Source organism: Homo sapiens, chromosome 11 (assembly GCF_000001405.40).
Source record: "Homo sapiens chromosome 11, GRCh38.p14 Primary Assembly".
In the NCBI taxonomy this organism is placed as follows: domain Eukaryota; kingdom Metazoa; phylum Chordata; class Mammalia; order Primates; family Hominidae; genus Homo; species Homo sapiens.
This window is the reverse complement of record NC_000011.10, coordinates 3,800,721-3,822,308: the sequence shown is the minus strand read 5'-3', so window position 1 is coordinate 3,822,308 and position 21,588 is coordinate 3,800,721. Positions and strand designations below refer to the sequence as shown.

General features: G+C 50.0%; 1 protein-coding gene and 1 long non-coding RNA gene across 66 annotated transcripts in view, besides 2 other annotated features; one reads left to right on the top strand and one right to left on the bottom strand.

Annotated features, from left to right (window-relative positions):
- PGAP2 (post-GPI attachment to proteins 2) overlaps positions 1-21,588 on the bottom strand; it is a 28,652-nt gene that overhangs the window by 4,063 nt on the left and 3,001 nt on the right. For 14 of the 65 annotated variants that reach the window (NR_027017.4, NR_104271.2, NR_045926.2 and 11 more), the window contains exons 2-3: positions 13,994-14,015; positions 10,885-11,059 (exon numbers count right to left, since the gene is read on the bottom strand). Coding sequence is in view for 43 of the 65 variants with exons in the window: in XM_047426784.1 (XP_047282740.1) it covers positions 10,885-11,059; positions 13,994-14,015 (197 nt within the window). In the remaining 22 variants the exon portion in view is untranslated. Of the gene's footprint in view, positions 1-4,773; positions 5,005-6,054; positions 7,049-10,884; positions 11,060-13,657; positions 13,750-13,993; positions 14,016-14,221; positions 14,300-21,588 lie in introns of those variants that run through there. The other 51 variants (NR_045927.2, NR_144427.2, NR_045923.2 and 48 more) reach the window with 17 other exon arrangements.
- Positions 2,159-2,350: a silencer, noted in NCBI's record as "fragment chr11:3841189-3841380 (GRCh37/hg19 assembly coordinates)". NCBI's record gives its function as "represses an EF-1alpha promoter that drives an FKBP-Casp9 reporter gene in an ReSE screen in phorbol 12-myristate 13-acetate-treated (for megakaryocytic differentiation) K562 erythroleukemia cells {active_cell/tissue: K562(+PMA)}" and the evidence as "EXISTENCE:reporter gene assay evidence [ECO:0000049][PMID:32094911]".
- On the top strand, positions 4,907-11,144 carry LOC124902618 (uncharacterized). The gene is made up of 3 exons (XR_007062559.1): positions 4,907-4,989; positions 7,048-7,124; positions 10,753-11,144. It is a non-coding gene; the product is annotated as an uncharacterized LOC124902618 (long non-coding RNA).
- Positions 13,499-13,828: a silencer, noted in NCBI's record as "silent region_3084". NCBI's record gives its function as "represses an Ori minimal core promoter by ATAC-STARR-seq in GM12878 lymphoblastoid cells {active_cell/tissue: GM12878}" and the evidence as "EXISTENCE:reporter gene assay evidence [ECO:0000049][PMID:35858748]".

The window sequence follows — 21,588 nt, the reverse complement described above, 5'->3', positions numbered from 1 at the left end:
CACTGCAAGCTCCGCCTCCCGGGTTCACGCCATTCTCCTGCCTCAGCCTCCCGAGTAGCTGGGACTACAGGCGCCCGTCACCACGCCCGGCTAATTTTTTGTATTTTTAGTAGAGACGGGGTTTCACCGTGTTAGCCAGGATGGTCTCAATCTCCTGACCTCGTGATCCGCCCACCTCGGCCTCCCAAAGTGCTGGAATTACAGACGTGAGCCACTGCGCCCGGCCGTTTTGTTTTTGCTTTTGTTTTTGGAGACAGGGTCTCACTTCGGTTGCCCAGGCTGGAGTGCCATAGCCCGATCTCGGCTCACTGCAGCCTCTACTTTCTGGGCTCAGGTGATTCTCCCACCTTAGCCTCCCAAGTAGCCACCACCATGCCTGGCTAATTTTTTGGATTTTTTTTTTTTTTTAGTAGCAACAGGGTTTTGCCATGTTGCCCAGGCTGGTCTAAAACTCCTGGACTCAAACAATCCACCCCCCTCGGCCTCTCAAACTGCTGGGATTACAGGCATAAGCCACCACGCCAAGCCAGAATATGCATTTTTTTTTTTTTGAGATGGAGTCTCGCTGTGTTGCTCAGGTTGGAGTGCAGTGGCGCAATTTTGGCTCACTGCAACCTCCGCTTCCTGCGGTCAAGCAATTCTCCTGCCTCAGCCTCCCAAGTAACTGGGATTACAGGCGCCTGCTGCCACGCCCAGCTAATTTTGTATTTTTAGTAGAGATGGGGTTTCACCATGTTGGGCAGGCTCGTCTCAGAACTCCTGACCTCTGGTGATCTGCCTGCCTCGGCCTCCCAAAGTGCTGGGATTACAGGCGTGAGCCACCACCCCCAGCAAGAATATGGATTTTTAAAAGTTTCCAAAACTGTGGAAATGGCCAGTCCATTGCCCACACTTTCTGTGCACTTCTGCAGACCTCCAACGAGGGCCAGCGCAGTGCCAGAGCCCAGCAACCCAGCAAGGGAATGAATTTGCTCTAACTATGGAGGGACAGTCTTCGGAAGTGGAGTTCTTAAGGACCATCATTCCTTTCTTTCAATGAGATGCCAGACTGCTGAGAAGGTGAGCAATGCTGCAGGCGGCTCATAGGGCAGCCCACAGGTAGGCCTGGGGCAAGACTAGCCATGGGGCTTCACAGCCTCCACAAAAAAGGAGATGGATTCCCTTCTGCACTGTCAGAGGAAGCTAAATGTAGAGCTCTGGGAGAGAAGATGCTGGTCTCAAAGCCATAGCTTGAGATACCATAGCTTGAGATATCATAGCTTGAGACCAGGCTCAGACATGCACTCTGAGTAATGTGAAGGGGCAGCATAGAGGCTCAGGAACTGCACAAAGCTGAGTCTGCATCCCAGCTCTGCCTTTATTAGCTGGGTGACCTTGAGCAAGTCACTTCACCTCTCTGAGCTCCAATTTCCTCATTGGTAAAATGGGTATAACACCACCTACCTTGCAGGGTGTTTATGAATTCTCTTTATTTATTTATTTATTTGAGACAGGGTCTCGCTCTGTCACCCAGGCTGGAGTACAGTGGCATAATCTTGGCTCATTGCAACCTCCGCCTCCCAGGTTCAAGTGATTCTCGTGCTTCAGCCTGCTGAGTAGCTGGGACTAGAGGTGCCACCACACGCAGCTAATTTTTCTTTTTTTTTTTGAGATGGAGTTTCACTCTTGTTGCCTAGGCTGGAGTGCAATGGTGCGGTCTCAACTCATTGCAAACTCCACCTCCCAGGTTCAAGCAATTCTCCTGCCTCAGTCTCCCGAGTAGCTGGGATTACAGACGCCTGGCCTCTAATTTTTGTATTTTTAGTAGAGATGGGGTTTCACCATGTTGGCCAGGCTGGTCTTGAACTCCTGACCTTAAGTGATTCACCTGCCAAAGTGCTGGGATTACAGGCGTGAGCCAACATGCCAAGCCATATGAATTCTAAATATAACGTGTATAAAACATCTGCAGTATCTGGCATGCAGTTAAGTACAATAAGTGATGGCTTTCAGAAGACAAAATTTCCTGTAAAGAATGCAAAAACGCTGTGAGCTACATGGCCACAGAGCATGGGAAGGTCTGCTTATGGGAGAGACGCAGGAACCTCCAAGTCTCCTTACTTGATTTTTCTGCCTTGCTGTTACTCTGAGTTGAGTTAGTCAGAGCATTGCCTCTGCTTCCTGGAATATTCAATCTGAAAACTACTCCCCAGTCTCAGCTACTTTAAGGAAAACAGGACCACCATCTAAAGCTTGACTGGGAGAGCCTAAAGGATTCAAGGGCCCTGAACCCTGACCACTGTTGGGAACAGGTACTGGGGAGAAATGATACAGAGTTTGGGGAAGGCCTCAGGAGGAAGAGAGAGTTAGGGCATTGTGGCTGCTGGTCCTGTCTTCATGAGCTTCTCTCAGATTAGGGATGGGGGTGGGATTCTAAGAGCAGGGACTGTCTCTTCCATCATGTACACACACACGCACATATACACACAGACACATACACACAATCAGGTACATGTACTCCTACCGCCAGCCCCATTCCAGCACACAAGTTCCCCACTCATCGACTGCACCAGCAACAAGCAACATCAGGAGCTATGAGAAACTGGGTACACAGCTCACCCCAAACTTCCCCATGTGCCCAGAGCTAAGAGTACTGAGAGACGGGAGGATAAGCCCTTTCTGATAGGACAGTAGATCAGAAACTCATATGGTATAAAGCAGGGTTCCCCAAAATCCCCTTGCACGGCACCTCAGATTTCACCATAAGATTCATTCCTTTGGCCTCAGGTAAAAGTCCCCCCACATTATAGATGCCTTCTCTAGCTACCGTACTGTCCCCCGCCCCATGCCAACTGCACAAAAACTCCATTTGCTGTCAATCCCACTTTCTACACCTCTCTAGACTCCATCCCTCCTCTCTACGCTCACAGTCCGCATCTTGGCTCTGGTTCCCCCAGGAGCATGAGCTACTGCACCAGCCTCCTTATACCCTACTCTTGCCCCTGACCTTAAAGCTGTTCTCCACTCAGAAGCTAGAGTGGTCTTCTGAAGCACAAATCTCCAGCCTACACAACATGGCAAAACCCCATCTCTACAAAAAAAATATAAGAATTAGCCAGGCATGGTGGCATGCACCTGTAGTCCCAGCTACCCAAGGCTGAGGCTGAGGCGAGGAATCACCTGAGCCCAGGAGGTCAAGGCTGCAATGAGCCAAGATCAGGTCACTGTACTCCCGCCTGGGAGACAGAGTGAGATCCTGTCTCTAAATAAATAAATATGTAAAGCACAAATCTGATCATGTCCCTTTCCTGCCTAAAATCTTTCCAAAGCTCTTGATAAAAATTGCCCTCTGGATAATATCAAAAGTTGCCGGCCTGGCATTCACAAAGAGCCTTCTTTACCACAGAGCAACAATGTCCCCTCCTCCAAGAAGAAAGTGATCCCCAATGTCCAAGCTGCGTGAAGTGCCTCCTCTGAGCCCCACAGTCACTGTACTCTTTTTTTAATCATAATAGGAACCCCAGACCACTGTGTTGTGACAGTCTGTGTCTAAGGATTGATTCTTGTAACATTGAGATGTTAAGGGCAAGTCCATATCTAATTCCATGCCCCTAGCACAACAGAACCTTTATCCCTGGGCCCCCAGGAAAGGCCTAGTGGACTGATTGTGGGAGACAGAAGTCCATCCAGGTTTCTGGCTGGCAGATCCCTGAGTGGATACAGGTGGTGGGGCCTGGGGCTGCCAGTAGGAGAAACAAAGCTTGAGGATCCAGATCAGAGCTGAGGATGGATCCTCCAAGGTCAGTCCCCGAGTCTGGGCCAAAGCCACTTGTTACATCTCCCATCTTCTGGCCTCATTTTACCTCCTCAGTCCTGGCTTCCTTTCCAATCTGCCTCCTTCCTCTCATGATCTCTCCTGCCCATTCCAATCCCTTCTCTTCCCCTATCACCTCCCTCTAACCCCCAACTCCCTTGCACTGTTATTGTTTTTTTTTTTTTTTTTGGCACGATCTTGGCTCACTGCAACCTCTGCCTCCCGGGTTCAAGCAATTCTCTTGCCTCAAGCCTCCTGAGTAGCTGGGATTACAGGCACACATCACCATGCCCAGCTAATTTTTTTGTATTTTTTAGTAGAGACAGGGTTTTACCATGTTGGCCAGGCTGGTCTCAAACTCCTGACCTCAGGTGATCCTCCCACCTCGGCCTCTCAAAGTGCTGGGATTACAGGCATGAGCCACAGTGCACAGCCTGCTGTTTTTTTTTTTTTATTTTGTTTTGTTTTTGAGACAGGGTTTTACTCCTGTCACCCAGGCTGGAGTATAATGGTGTGAACTCAGCTCACTGAAATGTCCACCTCCCAGCCTCAAGCAATTCTCCTGCCTTAGCCTCCCAAGTAGCTGGGACTACAGGGGCATGCCAGGGCACCCAGCTAATTTTTTTGCATTTTTTGTACAGACGGGGTTTCACCATGTTGCCCAGGCTGGTCTCGAACTGAACTCGAGTGATCCACTGGCTTCGCCCTCCCGAGGTGCTGAGATTACAGGTATGAGCCACTGCGCCCGTCATCTCCCTTGCATTTCTATCATCATCTTCCAACTCAGGGAGGACTGTGATTCTATTCTCTCTGAGTCTCCCCCCATGAATTATCTCTGACTCTGACTTACCTACCCTTCCCCCATCCCCTTGTCCCTTTCCCTCTCTCTGATCCTCCACTTCCTCTCCACTATCTAATTCTACCCTAACTGCCACCTCCTGACCTGGCCCTGACCCAGGGGCTGGGGAGCTGGCACTCACCCCACAGTCAGTGGCCACCGTGTACTCAAAGTGGAACACCAGGGACCAGATGATGCAGAAGAAGAAGCCGAACACAGGAAAAGTGATGGCCCACCAGACCATGGCTGTGAAGCGAAGCCGGAACAAGGTCCCATCGGGGTCCAAAGGCTGGGAGGCCGCAGAGAACATCCTGCAGGGCGTGGCCTAAGCAGCACGAGGGATACAACTTGGGGCCTGGTAGGACACCTGGGTCTGGGAAAGTGGGGCCTTTTCCAGAGATGGCTCCTCAGAGTATAAGGAAAAGCCAGAGCAGAAAGGGTAGAAAAGGCATAAGGGGAAAAGGAAGACAGTGCAGAGGAGAAGGATCAGAGGGAGATGGGGCAGGAGCAGCAGAGACAGGCAGGGTCAGAGCTTAGGAATCCCCCTGGCACAGTGATACTCTAGGTCCACCTCTTGAAGAGCCTACAGAAGAGAGGCTCCCGGTGGCTTGGACAGGGAGCTCTGGTGGCCCACCTCACTCTCACAACCCTCATAGCCACTCAGGAGAAGGGTCAGAGGTAGAAAGGTTATTATTCCCATTTCACAGAAGGGGAGACTGAGGCCCAGAACTATGCCAGGATCAAACACCAGGACTAAGGCCTCTTGCCACCTGACAGCTTCAGGTTCTAAGTCATGGCTTCTTTCAGGCCAACTAACAAAGGACCGTTGGCTCAGAATGGCCAAAGCCCTCCCACTGACCCTGTCTGACCACATTCCTGTTCCTTACCCAAGTTCAACTAGGAACAGAGGGAGTGCCCCAGAGCCTATTTCAATGGGGCCACAGGCTGCCAGCCATTCCACCCCCAGGCTCTGAATGATCCAAGCCTCAGGCCAGCGGTACCCTGATCCTAAAATACCAGGTCCCTGTGGAAGCCCAGACCTACATCTCCTCCCTCTCTGAGGAGATGCAATGTCACCCAATCCAAGGTTTGGGGGAATCTGAGGGTCATGGAAACCTTCTCCACTGAGCTTGAGCCTGCTGTCCTGGGCCAGACCCAGGAGATCTCTGTCCAGGTCAGACCCAGACCCAGGGAACTGAGCTTCTTCCAATCTCTTCTCCCTCCTGGCCGACAACTCCCCCTCACAACCCCACTGCCCAAACACCTTGACCCCTCAAGCTGGGCTTCCCTCTGGATCAAGCTGAGGCAGACAGAGATGGCTTGATATTAAAAGGCCTAGGACCCAATCTCCCCTCGGCACTCATACTTCCCTCCACTAAGGAGACCCAGGAATGGGGTGGGGGCCTCATGAAGGAACACTCACACTCGGTGCTGAAGAATCCGGGTCTTGGGTTGAAGGTTGTAGCCAGACTGGGACTATTCTAAGACTGGAGGATCCCACCCCCTGCTCCTCAGGGCCTGCCCTCCCGCCCACAGTACCCAATTCTCCACGCCTGCCCAGGCACACATCCTTCCCAGGATCAACAAGCATATGTCATAAATCCTAGAACACTCTGCAAAGGGAAGAAGTGATAGTGGCTGAGGTCAGCTGGCAGTAGCTTCTTTGCCAGTGATGGGGGCAGGGACCTTCCTGAGAGTTGTATCCAGGGTCATAGGCAGGTTTCCAATAAGGGAAAGAGAGAAAGCAAAAAGGGGTCTGGCCGTTTTTTGTTAGAGCAGGACTGAGAGGGCTTGTTGGGCCTCACTGGAGAAATGGCTAAATCCTATGATGACAGAAGCAGGATACAAAAGAGATCTCAACAAGCCTGAATATGAGATATCGATGTTCAGCCTGTACCTGTGCAGAAACAGCTAATAGCAGCTCAGGCTGCCTCAACAGAGGTCTAACAGCCAGGAATAAGAATGAATAGTCCTGCTTTTGCCTGTACTGCCCAGGCCACCTGGAGTTCTATACCCAAATCAAGGCCCAGCAGAGAACAGTGACAAACTGGGCCAAGTTCAACGGTACATTCAGGATAGGGAAGAGCCTGGAAACCATTTCCTTGGAAGGTTGCCTGAAGGAACTGGATTGCCTGAGGTCAGGAGTTCGAGACCAGCCTGGGTAACACAGTGAAACCCCGTCACTACTAAAATACAAAAAGTTAGCCAGTCATGGTGGCGGTGTGCCTGTAATCCCAGCTACTCGGGAGGCTGAGACAGGAGAATCGCTTGAACCTGGGAGGCGGAGGTTGCAGTAAGCCGAGATCGTGCCATTGCACTCCAGCCTGGGTGACAAAGCGAGATTCCATCTCAAGAAAAAAAAAAAAAGAAGAAGACAGACTCAAGGCCCCTCATTACTGTCTTCTTGTCTCTACAGGGCTGACCTGAAGCCACGAGGAGAGAATAGTTCTACGGCAAAGCAGAGCCAGGGCCAAGGCAGAGACTCACCGGAAAGTAAGTACATACTCACTATAAGTAAAAGCTTCAGCCTGGCCAGCATAGTGAAACCCCATCTCTCCTAAAAATACAAAAAATGAGCCAGGCACGGTGGTGCATGCCTGTAATCTCAGCTACTCGGGAGGCTGAGGCATAAGAATGGCTTGAACCCAGGAGGCAGAGGTCGCAGTGAGCCAAGATTGTGCCACTGCACTCCAGCCTGGGCAACAGAGCAAGACCCTGCCTCAAAAAGAAAAGAAAAGAAAGGAAAGGAAAGGGAAAGGGAAAGGGAAAGGGCAAGGGAAAGGGAAAGGGAAGGAAAGGAAGAAAAGAAAGAAAAGAAAGAAAGAAGGAAAGAAAGAAGGAAAAAAAGAAAAAAAGAAAGAAAGAGAAAGAAAGAAAGAAAGAAAGAAAGAAAGAAAGAAAGAAAGAAAGAAAGAAAGAAAGAAAGAAAAGAAGGAAAGAAGGAAAGAAGGAAAGAAAAAGCTTGGGCTAGGCACAGTGGCTCAAGCCTGTAATCCTAGCACTCTGGAAGGCTGAGGCAGGAGGATCACTTGAGCTCAGGAGTTGAAGACCAGCCTGGGCAACATAGTGAGAAACTATCTCTGTTAAAAGAAAAAAAAGAAGAAGAAAGAAAAAAAAAAGAGGCTGGGCATGGTGGCTCACGCCTTTAATCCTAGCACTTTGGGAGGCCAAGGCAGGTGGATCACCTGAGGTCAGGAGTTCGAGACGAGCCTGGCCAACATGACGAAACCCCGTCAATACCAAAAATACAAAAATTAGCCAGGTGTGGTGGCGGGCACCTGTAATCCCAGCTACTCAGGAGGCTGAGGCAGGAGAATTGCTTGAACCCAAGAGGCGGAGGTTGCAGTGAGCTGAGATCACAACACTGCACTCCAGCCTAGGCGACAGAGTGAGACTACATCTAAATAAAAATAAAGAAAGAAAATAAAAGAAAAAGGCTAATTATTAGTTATTAAGCTTCCTTAGAACAGGCTACCTGGGGAGGAAGGAAGCTCCCCATCACTGGGGATATGCGAGCAGAGGCAAAGTAATCAATTACAGATATGATGGACTAGCTTGCTTCTTTTATTCCTAGGGCTGGCCATTTCTGGGATACTCTGAGTGGGAAATTCAGAGCAAATATAAAAATTCCAAGGTGGAACCAACACCGTAGGCTCAGGCAGTGGGGACAACATACCCTCAGGGTCACAGACCTAGTACTGCTCCAGAGGGACCAAGTACTCCAGCAACTATCTATATCTTAATTCCCTAACTGGTATGCCCAGAACAGGTAATAGGTATGCAAGGTATGCAATAACCTAGCTAATAGGGTATTGATGCCATCAGCCCTTGGGGTCAGCCATAAGGGGCAGAGCAAACAGCCTAGTCTGTTTAACTCCATATACTATACAAATATTATAATTTTGCTTGGACTATGATTGACTTATACCATGCCTTCCTTTCCCCAGGGCACTGGGCTAGGGAGTCTTAATCATTTATTCAACCAACACTTTCTGGCCAGGCACAGTGGCTCACGCCTATAATCCCAGTGCTTTGGGAGTCGAGGTGGGAGGATCACTTGAGGTCAGGAGTTCAAGACCAGCCTGGGCAACAGTGTGAGACCCCGTCTCCACACACATACACAAAAATTAGCTGGGCATGGTTGTGCATACCTATTGTCCTAGCTACTCAGGAGGCTGAGGCAGGAGGATTACTTGTGCCCTGGTGGTTGAGGCTGCAGTGAGCTATGATCATGCCACTGCACTCCAGCCTAGGCAACATGGCGAGACCCCATCTCCACAATTTTTTTTTTAATTAAGCTGGGTGTAGTGGCTCACATCTGTAGTCCTAACTACTCAGGAGTCTGAGGTTAGGAAGACTGCTTGATCCCAGGAGTTTGAGGCTGCAGTGAGCTATGATCATGCCACTACACTCTGGCCTGGGTGACGGAAATGAGACCCTGCCTCTAAAACAAATAAAAAAACCCAAATACTTTCTCACTCAAATGCAGTGCCTGCCTTCAAGGAGATCCCCATCTGGTTGGGAAGACAGACACAAATATGATGTGATAGATAACACAGGGAACTGTGGGCACCCAGAGGAGGGAGTGATTACATTAGCCCCAAGGAGGATAGGGAAGACATTTTAGAGCTAGCGGGGCAGGGTTTTGCGGGATGATCAGGAGTGGCTAGCGTAACAGGAATATCTGATGCATTATCTGAGATAATAGGTACTAGGTCATGTACTAGGTCACAAAAGGGTACTCCTTCCCTTCAGATCGCCTGTTCGCCCTTTTCGTCCAGTTCTTTCTAATAGCTCCCAGCCCCAGGTCTCATCAGATTGGGTGTCCATACCTCAACACCCATGTCTACCCACTGACAAATCAGGAGGAGAGGAAACTCCAGTCACATGAAGTAAAGAAGTGGGGCTCCACCCCATACTCACAGCTAGACCCCACTGCTAATCCTAGCCATTTCTCTGAAGCAGATGCTCTTTACATGAAGTGGGGATCCAGCTGGCTGGGGCCTTCAGAACTCTGAGGGACCCCAATGGTCCATGCGCAGAATCTGCCTCTTCTCCACCTAAAGCCCCTAGGTTAAGTTCATTTCCTGCCCTGCCTTCCAACCTGACAGTCTCTTCCTCCTCCTCCTTCTGCTCCTCACATTTCATCATCCTCCCTAAACTACCTTCCTATCCTTCTTCTACCTAGAGCTCTACACTAGCCCTGGGAAGGAGCAGGACAGGAATTATCAACCCTATTTTATTTTTTAGAAATGGGGGTCTCACTATGTCATCAGGCTGAAGTACAGTGAGAAAACCATAGCTCACTCCAGCCTCAGACTTCTAGGCTCAAGCAATCCTCCCACCTCAGGCTCCTGAGGAGCTAGGACTACAGGTGCATACCCCCATGCCCAGCTAATCAATTCTATTTCAGACATGAGGAAACTGAGGCTGGGTCTCTGTCTCAGGTAATATAGAGTCAGTAAATGAATTACAAGTATAACAGAGTTTGACATATGTCCCACCCCACTTACTTTGATATCCTAGAGAAAGTGGTCTTACATCTTTCTTCCTGGCCCCGCACCCCATATCCCTGTCCAGAGGGTACACAGACATCTATGGAATCTTAGAGGCCACGGGACTCACCCCAGGACACATACACACGTACATAATCAGATCTCCATACAGACAGGCACAGATATAGTCTCTCTCACACACGACCCACTCAAACCCATTATATACAGTCATGACCCTCACAATCACACACACATATACTGAGTCACATTCCTACAGAGACAGGCACAAGCCCATAGTGCTACATTAAGAGGCCCAAAATACCCTCTAGCCCAATCCTGTTCTCTCTCCACTTCCCAGAAACCCTGGGGTTCCAGAATCTGCTCTTCTATGAAGTAAGGATTTGGCTCTAGGTCTGCCCTCTGGACAGGGATATGGGGCGCGGGGCCAGGAAGAAAGATGTAAGACCACTTTCTCTAGGATATCAAAGTAAATGGGGTGGGACATGTGTCAAACTCTGTTATACTTGTAATTCATTTACTGACTCTATATTACACTTCAGTGACTCCAGCCTCCAGAACCTCACAGAAGGCAGAGGGAGACTAACCCTTGAGATTTCAATTTGCAGGCATCCCCCCAGCAGCCCCGTATGTTTGATGGGCCCCAGTGGAGAGCTGGCTAATCTTGTTAAAAGATATTCAAGATCTAAAGAAGATCCAGATCGGCCTGAATATGAGGTATCAGTGTCCCCATGCCCTACCCCACAGTGTGTGGCCGTTGTCTCCTTGAAGTGGAAGAGCAGGGACCAGAGGATGCAGAAGAGGAAGGCGACAAGTGGACAGCAGACCGTGACCAGGGCCACCATGGTGAAGCGGAGCCGTACCAGGGTCCCATCCCGATCCAGTGGTAGTGGGACCTGGTACATCTTGTCAGACCTGGGGATGGAGTGGCATGCTGTCAGGGCCCCAGGCAGCCAGGCTGGCACTCAGTGATAAAGTCAGCCCTTGTGCTCAGTCCTAAAATTAGCTGTGTGCTGTGGGGTGGGGAGTCTGAGGAGGAAGGCACCTAAACTTGGATAGCTCTTGCCCTGGATGAGGAAGACTGACTCAGAATCCCAAGACAACATTCCACCTCAATTTCAGAGGGAAGACAATGAACCAAATCTGTGCTAGGATAAAGCTTGAATGGACTGGGAGAGCTTCTCCTCACTCCTCTCTGCCTAGCTTGACAGGCCTAGGACTAGAGAAGCTGCTTTAAATAAGTGTCTCTCTTTATTTCAAGAACCAACCCTAAAACCTACCAGTGGATGGCATGGCCCATCTCCTCCCCCAGGCCTTTGAGCCTCGGCCCAGCCTCCAGGCTTCAAGGCCTCTCATCAGCTCTCATTTGCTTCCCCACTGGCCCAGGGCCCTCCTGCACCTTCAGTCCCTTCCCAGGCTCTGTGTGCCTGCACCGCAGTCCACAGTGGCAGGGATTCCATGGAAGCTGACAGAACCCCAAGCCCCCTGCTTGTCCCAGCCTGCTCCCTCACGTGCCCCCAGGGTGAAAGGCTTTGCAGAATCAGGCCTGGTGCTAGCCTGGGATTGCTGTTTGCTGGAGAGAGCTGCTTGGTCAGCTTCTGGAGGCTTCCCAGTGCCCAGGGGGCTGTCCACATCACCCTCCTGTGAACAGATGAGGGTTCCTGGGGGCTGTGATTTCCCCCTTAGATAAGGGTAGCTAAGGTCAGGAACTATAACAAATAAGTGTATACCAACAATCCTAGCCCAGCTCCGCACAGTATACAGAAGGGAAAGTTGGAGCAGGAATCTGCTCAGGATCACATAACAAAGAGATACATGTGGGACCCACGAAGAGTTACACACTGCAACTCTGGCCTTCCTTGACCCCTTCCTCTCTGTGTCTGAACTTGAGAAAGGTCAGGTTAGGACTGGAGTGAGAGAGGCAGAAGAGGCACCTGTTCACAGGAGGAAGAAAAGGAAAAACCAAAATCTACATAGATGAGGCAGTTAGCCCTATTCCCATTGTAAAGATAGAGAAACCAAGACACTCAGAGAGAGAGAAGGGCTGGCTCTTCCTCAAAGCCCTGTGCTGAGCTGAAGGGAAAGCCATCCCTGGAACGTTGGCTTGTTGTTGCCAAGCTAGGGCTGGCTCCAGACACATAAAGAATATACCCTTCTGGGCTCAAAGACCTTGTCAAATCAAGTCCCAACTCTTCCTGACCCCACCCACAAGACTCTCCCTTTAGTCCCACCCTCAAAAAGAACCCTGATCTCAGTTAGGTTGCCATCCTGGCATTCCAGAACAAGCCAGGTGGCTACGCCTCCACATTCTCACCCATTTTCCCCCAGCTGCCAGACCTGATCAGGCAGCCTGCTCCAATTGCTCAAGTTCCTCTCTCCCTTTTAGGAGCATCAGGGATCCCAGGGAGCTGGAAGTGGCTCTGGTGACCCTCCCAGAAAAAAAACACATTCCCTGGATCATCCCTAAATGGACTCTAAGTCCCTTAGGGCCCTAGATGGGGAACATTTTCCTCACCCAGCCCAAACCTAGACTCTGCAGTTGCAGTAGCACTAGTCTTCCCTCCCAGTATCCCTCCCTGAAGGCTGCAGCTCTAGATCCCTGAGGAACCACTAGGATTCCCAAATTGAAGACTAGATCTTCAGGGAATGAAGAGGCACTGCCCAAATCAGGAGTTGATGAGGAGGTTCAAGGGATAATCCATTCCAATTCTTGGAGGTATGCCTGGCCTCCCATTTAGCTGTGTGACCTTTGGCAAGCCACTTAAGCACTCTAGATCTGTTTCCACAGTTCTGCAACATGGGAATCACATGGTTTAGATTACCTCTAAGGTCCTTCCAACTTGGTCATTCTACTCCACACCTCAGGGTGGAGCTGAAGGGCAATTGTTCAGCCTGCAGATAGTTCTACATTCCTCACAGGTACTACTTAGCTGAAAATTGCTTTCTTTGGAGCTACCTCAGCTCCAAAGTCCCTAGAGATCTCCTCAGCCTCGAGTCTGAACCCACATTTACTGAGTGCCTACGGAATACTAGGCCCCCTGCTCTGTACTTGATATACATTGTCTCTTTTAATCTCACCATAATTCTATGAGGTAGGTGCTACAGCCTGTATATTTCCATTTTACAGATGAGGAAACTGAGGCTCAGGGAGGTTCAAAACACTTACTCAAGGCCAAGGCTAATAAATGGCACAGCTGCCATTCAAAACTACTCTATGGGGTTCCAACCCCGGGGCCCCATCCTCCCCACCTAGGACTCCTGACCAGGAGGCCCCGCGGAATAAAGGGAGAGCTCAACCCCTGCACACCCGGCCCCACGCTGGGGAGGGAGAAGAAGGGGGCCAGCTCGGCAAGTCCAGAGAGCAGCAGTTCCTGGGAAACAGAGTGTGTGCGATAGGACGGCAGGTACCAGGACTCCCACAGCGTGGGGCCCGGCCCTGCAGAGGCCAGACCGCGCGGCCAAGCTCCCGAGTGGGGCTGCCCGGCAGCCCAGCACATCCATGCCCATACTCACCCACGCGGTGGTGGCGAGAGTGCCGGCGGAACCCGGGGGCCCAGGTGGCCCGGGGTCGGGGGCTGGCTCTGCGGGCTGGTCAGAGCGCGAACGGCGGGGGCGGGGCCGGCGCTCTCGGGGCGGAACTTAGAGAGGAAACTGCGCCCAGATCCTCCGCTGGCTCCTCCCCGCTTCTGGAGACCCCGACCCCTGGCTCTCCTCCTCAATCTGGCGTGTCCTCAAACCATGCTTTACAGCCCGGGTCTGCCCCCACTAATTTCGGCTGCGTGAGGGCAGCCGGAAGAGCTCTGGATACCTGAGTTTGAGCATGTTGGATAAGCCACCTTGTCGCCTTACCTCTCAGCTGCGTTCCATCTACCTGTTGAAAGAACACAAAATTAATTCAACAGGGGCCGGATTTCTTTCTCATCCGCCCGTCTCTCCTGCCTCGCACCTCCATTCTAACCGAACTATCCAGCCTCGCCCTTCTGAAACATTAAGCCAGTTTCCTCCCAGCCCTGGCGCCCCTCCCCCAAACTTTGCTCGTCAGGGCGGTTGGGGACATTTCAGCAATGGGAAGAGCACCTTTGCAGGCAGTGAGACCCGGTGAGGCACATCCCAGAAACTCTGGCCTAGAGCTGTTCCCGCCTTTGTTCAGGAGAGGGCGCCCTGTCCTACGTAGCGCAGAAAGGATTTCCAGCCACCAGCCTTGGGTCTCCCCACAATGAGAGGATTGATCCCCCAAAACCAGCTGCCAGAGTTCCCTCCCTACCCTGACCATGACTGACCCATGAAAGAACTTGAGGGGGACCCCTGGCTCCCTTTGCAAAGACCATCCCAGCCCAACAGGGAAGGAGGGTGAAGGGACCAAGAATTCCTCCTGCAAGCACACTGGTGGGTAGTCAGAGCATCTGCAGCGGGTGGAGGACCTCTAAGTTAGCCATACCTAACATCGCACTTTTCCACTTAAATCCTCACAGCAATAACACATTCTGAACACCCAGTATATCCCAGGCACTCTTACTTCTTATCTCATTTATTTAATCCTCATAAAAACCCTGTGAGGGCCAGGCGCGGTAGCTCACGCCTGTAATCCCAGCACTTTAGGAGGCCGAGGCGGGCGGATCACCTGAGGTCAGGAGTTTGACACCAGCCTGGCCAACATGGCGAAACCCCGTCTCTACTAAAAATACAAAAATTAGCCGGGCACGGTGGCGGGCGCCCGTAATCCCAGCTACTTGGGAGGCTGAGGCAGGAGAATCGCTTGAACCCGGGAGGCAGAGGTTGCAGTGAGCTGAGATCGTACCACTGCACTCAAGCATGGGCGACAAGAGCGAAACTCCATTAAAAAAAAAAAAAAAAACCTGTGAAAATAGATACGATCTCGGCTCACTGCAACCTCCGCTTCCAGGGTTCAAGCGATTCTCCTGCCTCAGCCTCCCGAGTAGCTGGAATTAACAGGCGCCCGCTACTGCGCCCAGCTAATTTTTGTAGTTTTTAGTAGAGGCGAGGTTTTGCCATTTTGGCCAGGCTGGTGTCAAACTCCTGACCTCGTGATCTGCCCCCGCCTTGGCTTCCCAAAGAGCTGGGATTACAGGTGTAAGCCACCGCGCCTGGCCTTTTTTTTTTCTTTCTTTCTCTCTTTTTTTTTGGAGACAGAGTCTCACTCTGTCACCCAGGCTAGAGTGCAGTGCCACGATCTCGGCTCACTGCAACCTCCACCTCCCGGGTTCAAGCAATTCTCCTATCTCAGCCTCCCGGGTAGCTGGGAATACAGGCGGCACCACCATGCCCGGCTAATTTTTGTACTTTTAGTAGAGATGGGGTTTCGCCATATTGGTCAGGCTGGTCTCGAATTCCTGACCTCAGGTGATCCACCTGCCTTGGCCTCCCAAAGTGCTGGGATTACAGGCATGAGCCTCCGCCAGTAGATACTATTTAATATCCTCATTTTACAATGGAAAACAGGGAAACCAAGTTACCTACTTACACAGCTAATACATGCCAGAACCAGGACTCAAGTCTGGTACCTGAGATAATTCACATAATCCACTATATGCTGTTAATGCCACTTAGCATTTGTTGATTAATTTGCCAGAGCTCTTTTTCATGTGTTCACTTTTGTTCATTCACCCAGTCTAGGCCCTCTCTTTGACAGGCCTCATGTGGAGCAATGGTGGAGGACCCAGAGATACCTCAGACGCACTCTGAGGGGCTCCGAAGTCTGGAGAAGGTGCGCACTCAGAGTGTCTTGTTCTAAAAACTACTTTTCTTGATTTTGAGTTCTCCCCTATCCTGTTCTTTAAGGTCCCAGGACAAATGGACTAGCAAAACTTTACAAAAAGAACTACCTCTCTCCAAATTTGGCAACTAGATTCAGGTTTTCTGCCTTGGGGCTTCATGTCATCCTCTTTGTCTAGCTCCAACCAGGGGTGTCTGCTCCTGGCTATTGTTCCCTATCTTGACACCTTGTCTGTTCTCTTGGCCCTAAGTACCATTCCCTGAGGCTGGGTCCCCTCTCCCTGCCTCTAGACTACCCCCAATGCCCAAACCTTGAGGTGCTCTAATTTAGATTAATTCTTTAATTCTCTGGTGATTTGGGAAATATGGGCAATTCTCCATATAGCCCTGAGCCTCTGTTTCCTCGTCTATAAAATGGTTTTATTTATTTATTTAAAACAAGGTCTCGCGGGGGCGTGGTGGCTCACATCTGTAATCCCAGCACTTTGGGAGGCCAAGGTGGGCGGATCACAAGGTCAAGAGATCGAGACAATCCTAGCCAACATGGTGAAACCCTGTCTCTACTAAAAATACAAAAATTAGCTAGGCGTGATGGCGCGCACCTGTAGTCCCAGCTACTTGGGAGGCTGAGGCAGGAGAATCACCTGAACCTGGGAGGCAGAGGTTGCAGTGAGCCGAGATCGCGCCACTGCACTCCAGCCTGAAGACAGAGCAAGACCGTGTCTCAAAAAAAAAAGGTCTCACTGTCTTGCCCAGGCTGGTCTTGAACTCCTAGGCTCAAGCGATCCTCCTTCCTTGGCCTCCCAAAGTGCTGGGATTACAGGCATGAGCCACCGTGCCCAGCCTGTAAAATTGATTTAGGAATATCCACACTGGGTGTGGTGGCTTACACCTGTAATCCCAGCACTTTGGGAGGCCAAGGCAGGAGGATCACTTGAGCCCAGGAGTTCAAGACCAGCCTAGGCAACATGGCAACAGCATCTGTACCAAAAAATACAGAAAACTAGCTGGGTGTGGTGGCACACACTTGTATTCCCAGCTACTCAGGAGGCTGAGGTGGGAGGATTGCTTGAACCCTGGAGGCAGAGGTTGCAGTCAACTGAGATCATACCACTCCACAACAGCCTGAGTGACAGAGCAAGACCCAGTCTCAAAAAAAAAAAAAAAAAAAAGAATATCCACATCATAGGGTTGTTGTATTAGAGGTAATGTAGCAGTGTGCCAGCCATGTGGGAGGTACTCAGTACATGATGGTCATTATGATTAGACATGTCAGCCACAGTGTGAACTCGTCCTGAACTTTTTTTGTATTGTCTGACCTTGGCTGTCACCGACCCTTTCTGAAATCTCTTTATTTCACTATCAGTTTGAAAGACCTCGCCTACCTTGATTTATGTGAGGGAAGATAAAAGAAATAAAAAGAGTTCTTGGGCCGGGTGCGGTGGCTCACGCCTGTAATCCCAGCACTTTGGAAGGCTGATGTGAGCAGATCACCTGAGGTCACGAGTTCGAGACCAGTCTGGCCAACGTGACAAAACCACATCTCTACTAAAAATACAAAAATTAGCCAGGCCTGGTGGCGGGCGCCTGTAATCCCAGCTACTTGGGAGGCTAAAGCAGGAGAATTGCTTGAACCCAGGAGGCGGAGGTTGCAGTGAGCCAACATTGCGCCACTGCACTCCAGCCTGGGTGAGAGAGCGAGACTCCACCTCAAAAAAATAAATAAATACAAATTAAAAATAAAAATACAAAATACAAAAATAAAAAGAAAATATTTGTTGGGTTGATTTAATGGAACTGGGTTTTGAAGAATGGGCAGTATTTAGACAGGTAAGCAGAGATTGAGGAATTGCTAGAAAGGGGACACAGTGAGCATGGCTGGGGTAGGTATAGAGGCAGGGACATAGACTGCTAAAGACATCCAGCTTTAGACCAAGCTCTGCCACTGCCTCCTGGGAAGCCTCAGGAAAATCAGTGTCCTTCCTGGGTTGAGGAGGAGTTATTCTTGTTCTTCTCAAAGATCTTTTTCATGACCAAGACATCCTTCCTGGATGGCTTTAAACCACCCACCCCCAGCTCACTCATCTTGCTCTAGCCTCACTCTGACTCAGATAGCAATTAAATCTTCCCCTGTTCATCTGCTTGCTTCCCTGTTCATCTAGCTTGGAATGTTCTCTCTTCCTGCCTCCATCTCAGGAAACTCTATCCTTCCGTAAAGGTATTTATGAGCATGACACTTTGGTAAGTTAAGAATGCATGTGGTAATTTCTAGGGAGATCACTAAAATAATACTAATAGGAAAAGAGAATTTAACTTTCAAACTAGTATAGTGGGAAAAATGGGCTGGGCATGGTGGCTCATGCCTGTAATCCCAGCACTTTGGTAGGCTGAGGCAGGCGGATCGCCTGAGGTCTGGAGTTTGAGTCGAGTCTGGCCAACATGATAAAATCTTCTTTCTACTAAAAATGCAAAAATTAGCCAGGCGTGGTGGCACGCGCCTGAAGTCCCAGCTACTAGGAAGGCTGAGGCACGAGAATCACTTGAACCTGGGAGGCAGAGGCTGCAGTGAGTCATGATCGCACCACTGCACTCCAGCCTGGGCGACACAATGAGACTGTGTCTCAAAAAAAAAAATATATATATATATAGCAGTAAATTCGTTAAATGCATTAGACTAAATGTTCTGGTTAAAAGCCAAAGTATTGGCTGGGCACGGTGGCTCAGGCCCATAATCCCAACACTTTGGGAGGCCAAGGCAGGTGGAACATTTAATGTCAGGAGCTTGAGACCAGCCTGGCCCACATGGTGAAACCTCATCTCTACCAAAAATATAAAAATTAGCCTGGTGTGGTGGTGGAAGCCTGTAATCCCAGCTACTTGGGAGGCTGAGGAACGAGAATTGCTTGAACCCAGGAGGCGGAGGTTGCAGTGAGCCGAGACTGCACCGCTGCACTCCAGCCTGGGTGACAGAGTGAGACTCCATCTCAAAAAAACAAAACAAAAATGGCCGGGTGCGGTGGCTCACGCCTGTGATCCCAGCACTTTGGGAGGCCGAGGCAGGTGGATCATGAGGTCAGGAGATCGAGACCATCCTGGCTAACATGGTGAAACCCCGTCTCTACTAAAAAAAAAAAAACAGGGCCGGGTGTGGTGGCTCACGCCTGTAATCCCAGCACTTTGGGAGGCCGAGGTGGGCGGATCATCTGAGGTCAGGAGTTCAAGATCAGCCTGGCTAACATGGTGAAACCCTGTCTCTACTAAATACACAAAATTAACTGGGCATGGTGGCGCATGCCTGCAGTCCCAGCTACTCGGGAGGCTGAGGCAGGAGAATCGCTTGAACCCAGGAGGCGGAGGTTGCAGTGAGCTGGGATCACACCACTGCACTCCAGCCTGGGTGACAGAGTGAGACTCTGTCTCCAAAAGAAAAAAAAAAAATTAGCCGGGTGTGGTGGCAGGCGCCTGTAGTCCCAGCTACTCGGGAGGCTGAGGCAGGAGAATGGCGTGAACCCGGGAGGCGGAGCTTGCAGTGAGCCGAGATGGTGCCACTGCACTCCAGCCTAGGCAAAAGAGCCAGTCTCCATCTCAAAAAAAAAAAAAAAAAAGAAACAAAACAAAATACAAAGTATTCTGCCCATGTCATAGACAAGGAATTGGGGCAGAGAAGGGTTAAATAACTTAGGCGAGATATAAAAAGTAGCAGATCTACAACTTGAACTTAGCTCTGACTCCAATTCTGCTGCTTCTCTGGAAAGAAGTCTCATCCTTCCACAATTCTGCAGTCCTTACAGATCTGTCTCCTCCCTAACCACCAATCCTTCACAGCTGCATACAGTGAGTTCTCAAGCCATGTGTATGATACTGGGGCTCCTAGGACAAAGCTGGACTTTCCTTGGCCAGAATAGTGTTGAGCTGTGGACATCTCTGGGCTCTTGATGTCCAGGACAGGGCTTGGCTCCAAAAGGGTTTGTAAGCATCAAACTCCTTGTCTTTAGAACGGAAGAAGGAAGATGATGATACCTAAAAGAGGTGTTATCAGAATTTAGACAGAGTAGGAGTGTGGGAAGGAACCCCTGGCTTCACAAAGATGTCCTTCCCCAGCCAGGAATTCTGGGAATGATGAGCCATGGGCTACTTGCCTACCAAAGTACCCAACAACGTATCTTTAGAAATCACCAAAGTCACAGGAAATTCTTCCTTGGAGTATTCCTCATCCAGTACGTATTCCTCCAGTCTTTCCACAAGTATGCACTATTTCCCTGCACATCTACTTGTACTTTGGACTGAATGTACTCATTTGCTTACTCATTCAAGACATTTCTTTCAGAACCATTTTATAGCAAAAAAAAAAAAAAGGAAAAGGAAAAGAAATAAAAGAAAAAAAGACATTTCTGAGTCCTCTTTCAGTGTCAGAATCAATGTCTTAGAATATTTAGAATGGGAACTCAACATTTTTATTTATTTATTTATTTATTTATTTAGAGACAGAATCTCCCTCTGTCACACAGGCTGAGGCTGGAGTATGGTGGTGCAATCTTGGCTCACTGCAACCTCCACCTCCCGGGTTCAAGTGATTCTCCTGCCTCAGCCTCCCGACTAGCTGGGATTACAGGCGTGGGCAACTATGCCTGGCTAATTTTTTTATTTTTAGTAGAGATGAGGTTTCGCCGTGTTGGCCAGGCTGGTCTTGAACTCCTGATCTCAGGTGATCTGCCCGCCTCAGCCTCCCAAAGTGCTGGGATTACAGGAGTGAGCCCCCGTGCCCGGAAACTTTTTTTTTTTTTTTTTTTGAGATGGAGTCTTGCTCTGTCACCCAGGCTGGAGTGCAGTGGCGCGATCTCTGCTCACTGCAAGCTCCGCCTCCTGGGTTCACACCATTCTCCTGCCTCAGCCTCCCGAATAGCTGGGACTACAGGCGCCTGCCACCGCGCCCGGCTAATTTTTTGTATTTTTAGTACAGACGGGGTTTCACCATGTTAGCCAGGATGGTCTCGATCTCCTGACCTTGTGATCCGCCCGCCTCGGCCTCCCAAAGTGCTGGGATTACAGGCTTGAGCCACCATGCCCGGCTGGGATACATTTTTAAATAATGCAAACAATACCATTTATTGAGGCCTTATCTGTGCCAGGTACTATGCTAAGTGCTTTAAATGTATTCTCTCTTTTAATGCTCACTACGACCCTGTAAGGCAAATGTGGTTGTTATCCCCATTTTATACAAAAGAAAATTGAGGTTCAGAGGGATTAGGAAATTTGCCCAAATTTCTTTTTCTTTCCTTTCTTTTCTTTTTTTTTTGAAGACAGACTTTCACTCTTGTTGCCCACGCTGGAGTGCAATGGTGCCATCTCAGCTCACTGCAACCTCTGCCTCCCCGGTTCAAGCAATTCTCCTGCCTCAGCCTCCCAAGTAGCTGGGATTACAGGCATGAGCCACCACACCCGGCTAATTTTTTGTATATTTAGTAGAGACAGGGTTTCACCATGTTGGCCAGGCGGGTTTCGAACTCCTGACCTCAGGTGATCCACCTGCTTCAGCCTCCAAAAGTGCTGGGATTATAGGCGTGAGCCACCATTCCCGGCAGGAAATTTGCCTAAATTTCTTTTTTTTTTTTTTTTTTTTGAGACGGAGTCTCACTCTGTGGCCCAGGATCGAGTGCAGTGGCTCGATCTCAGCTCACTGCAACCTCCGCCTCCCAGGTTCAAGCAATTCT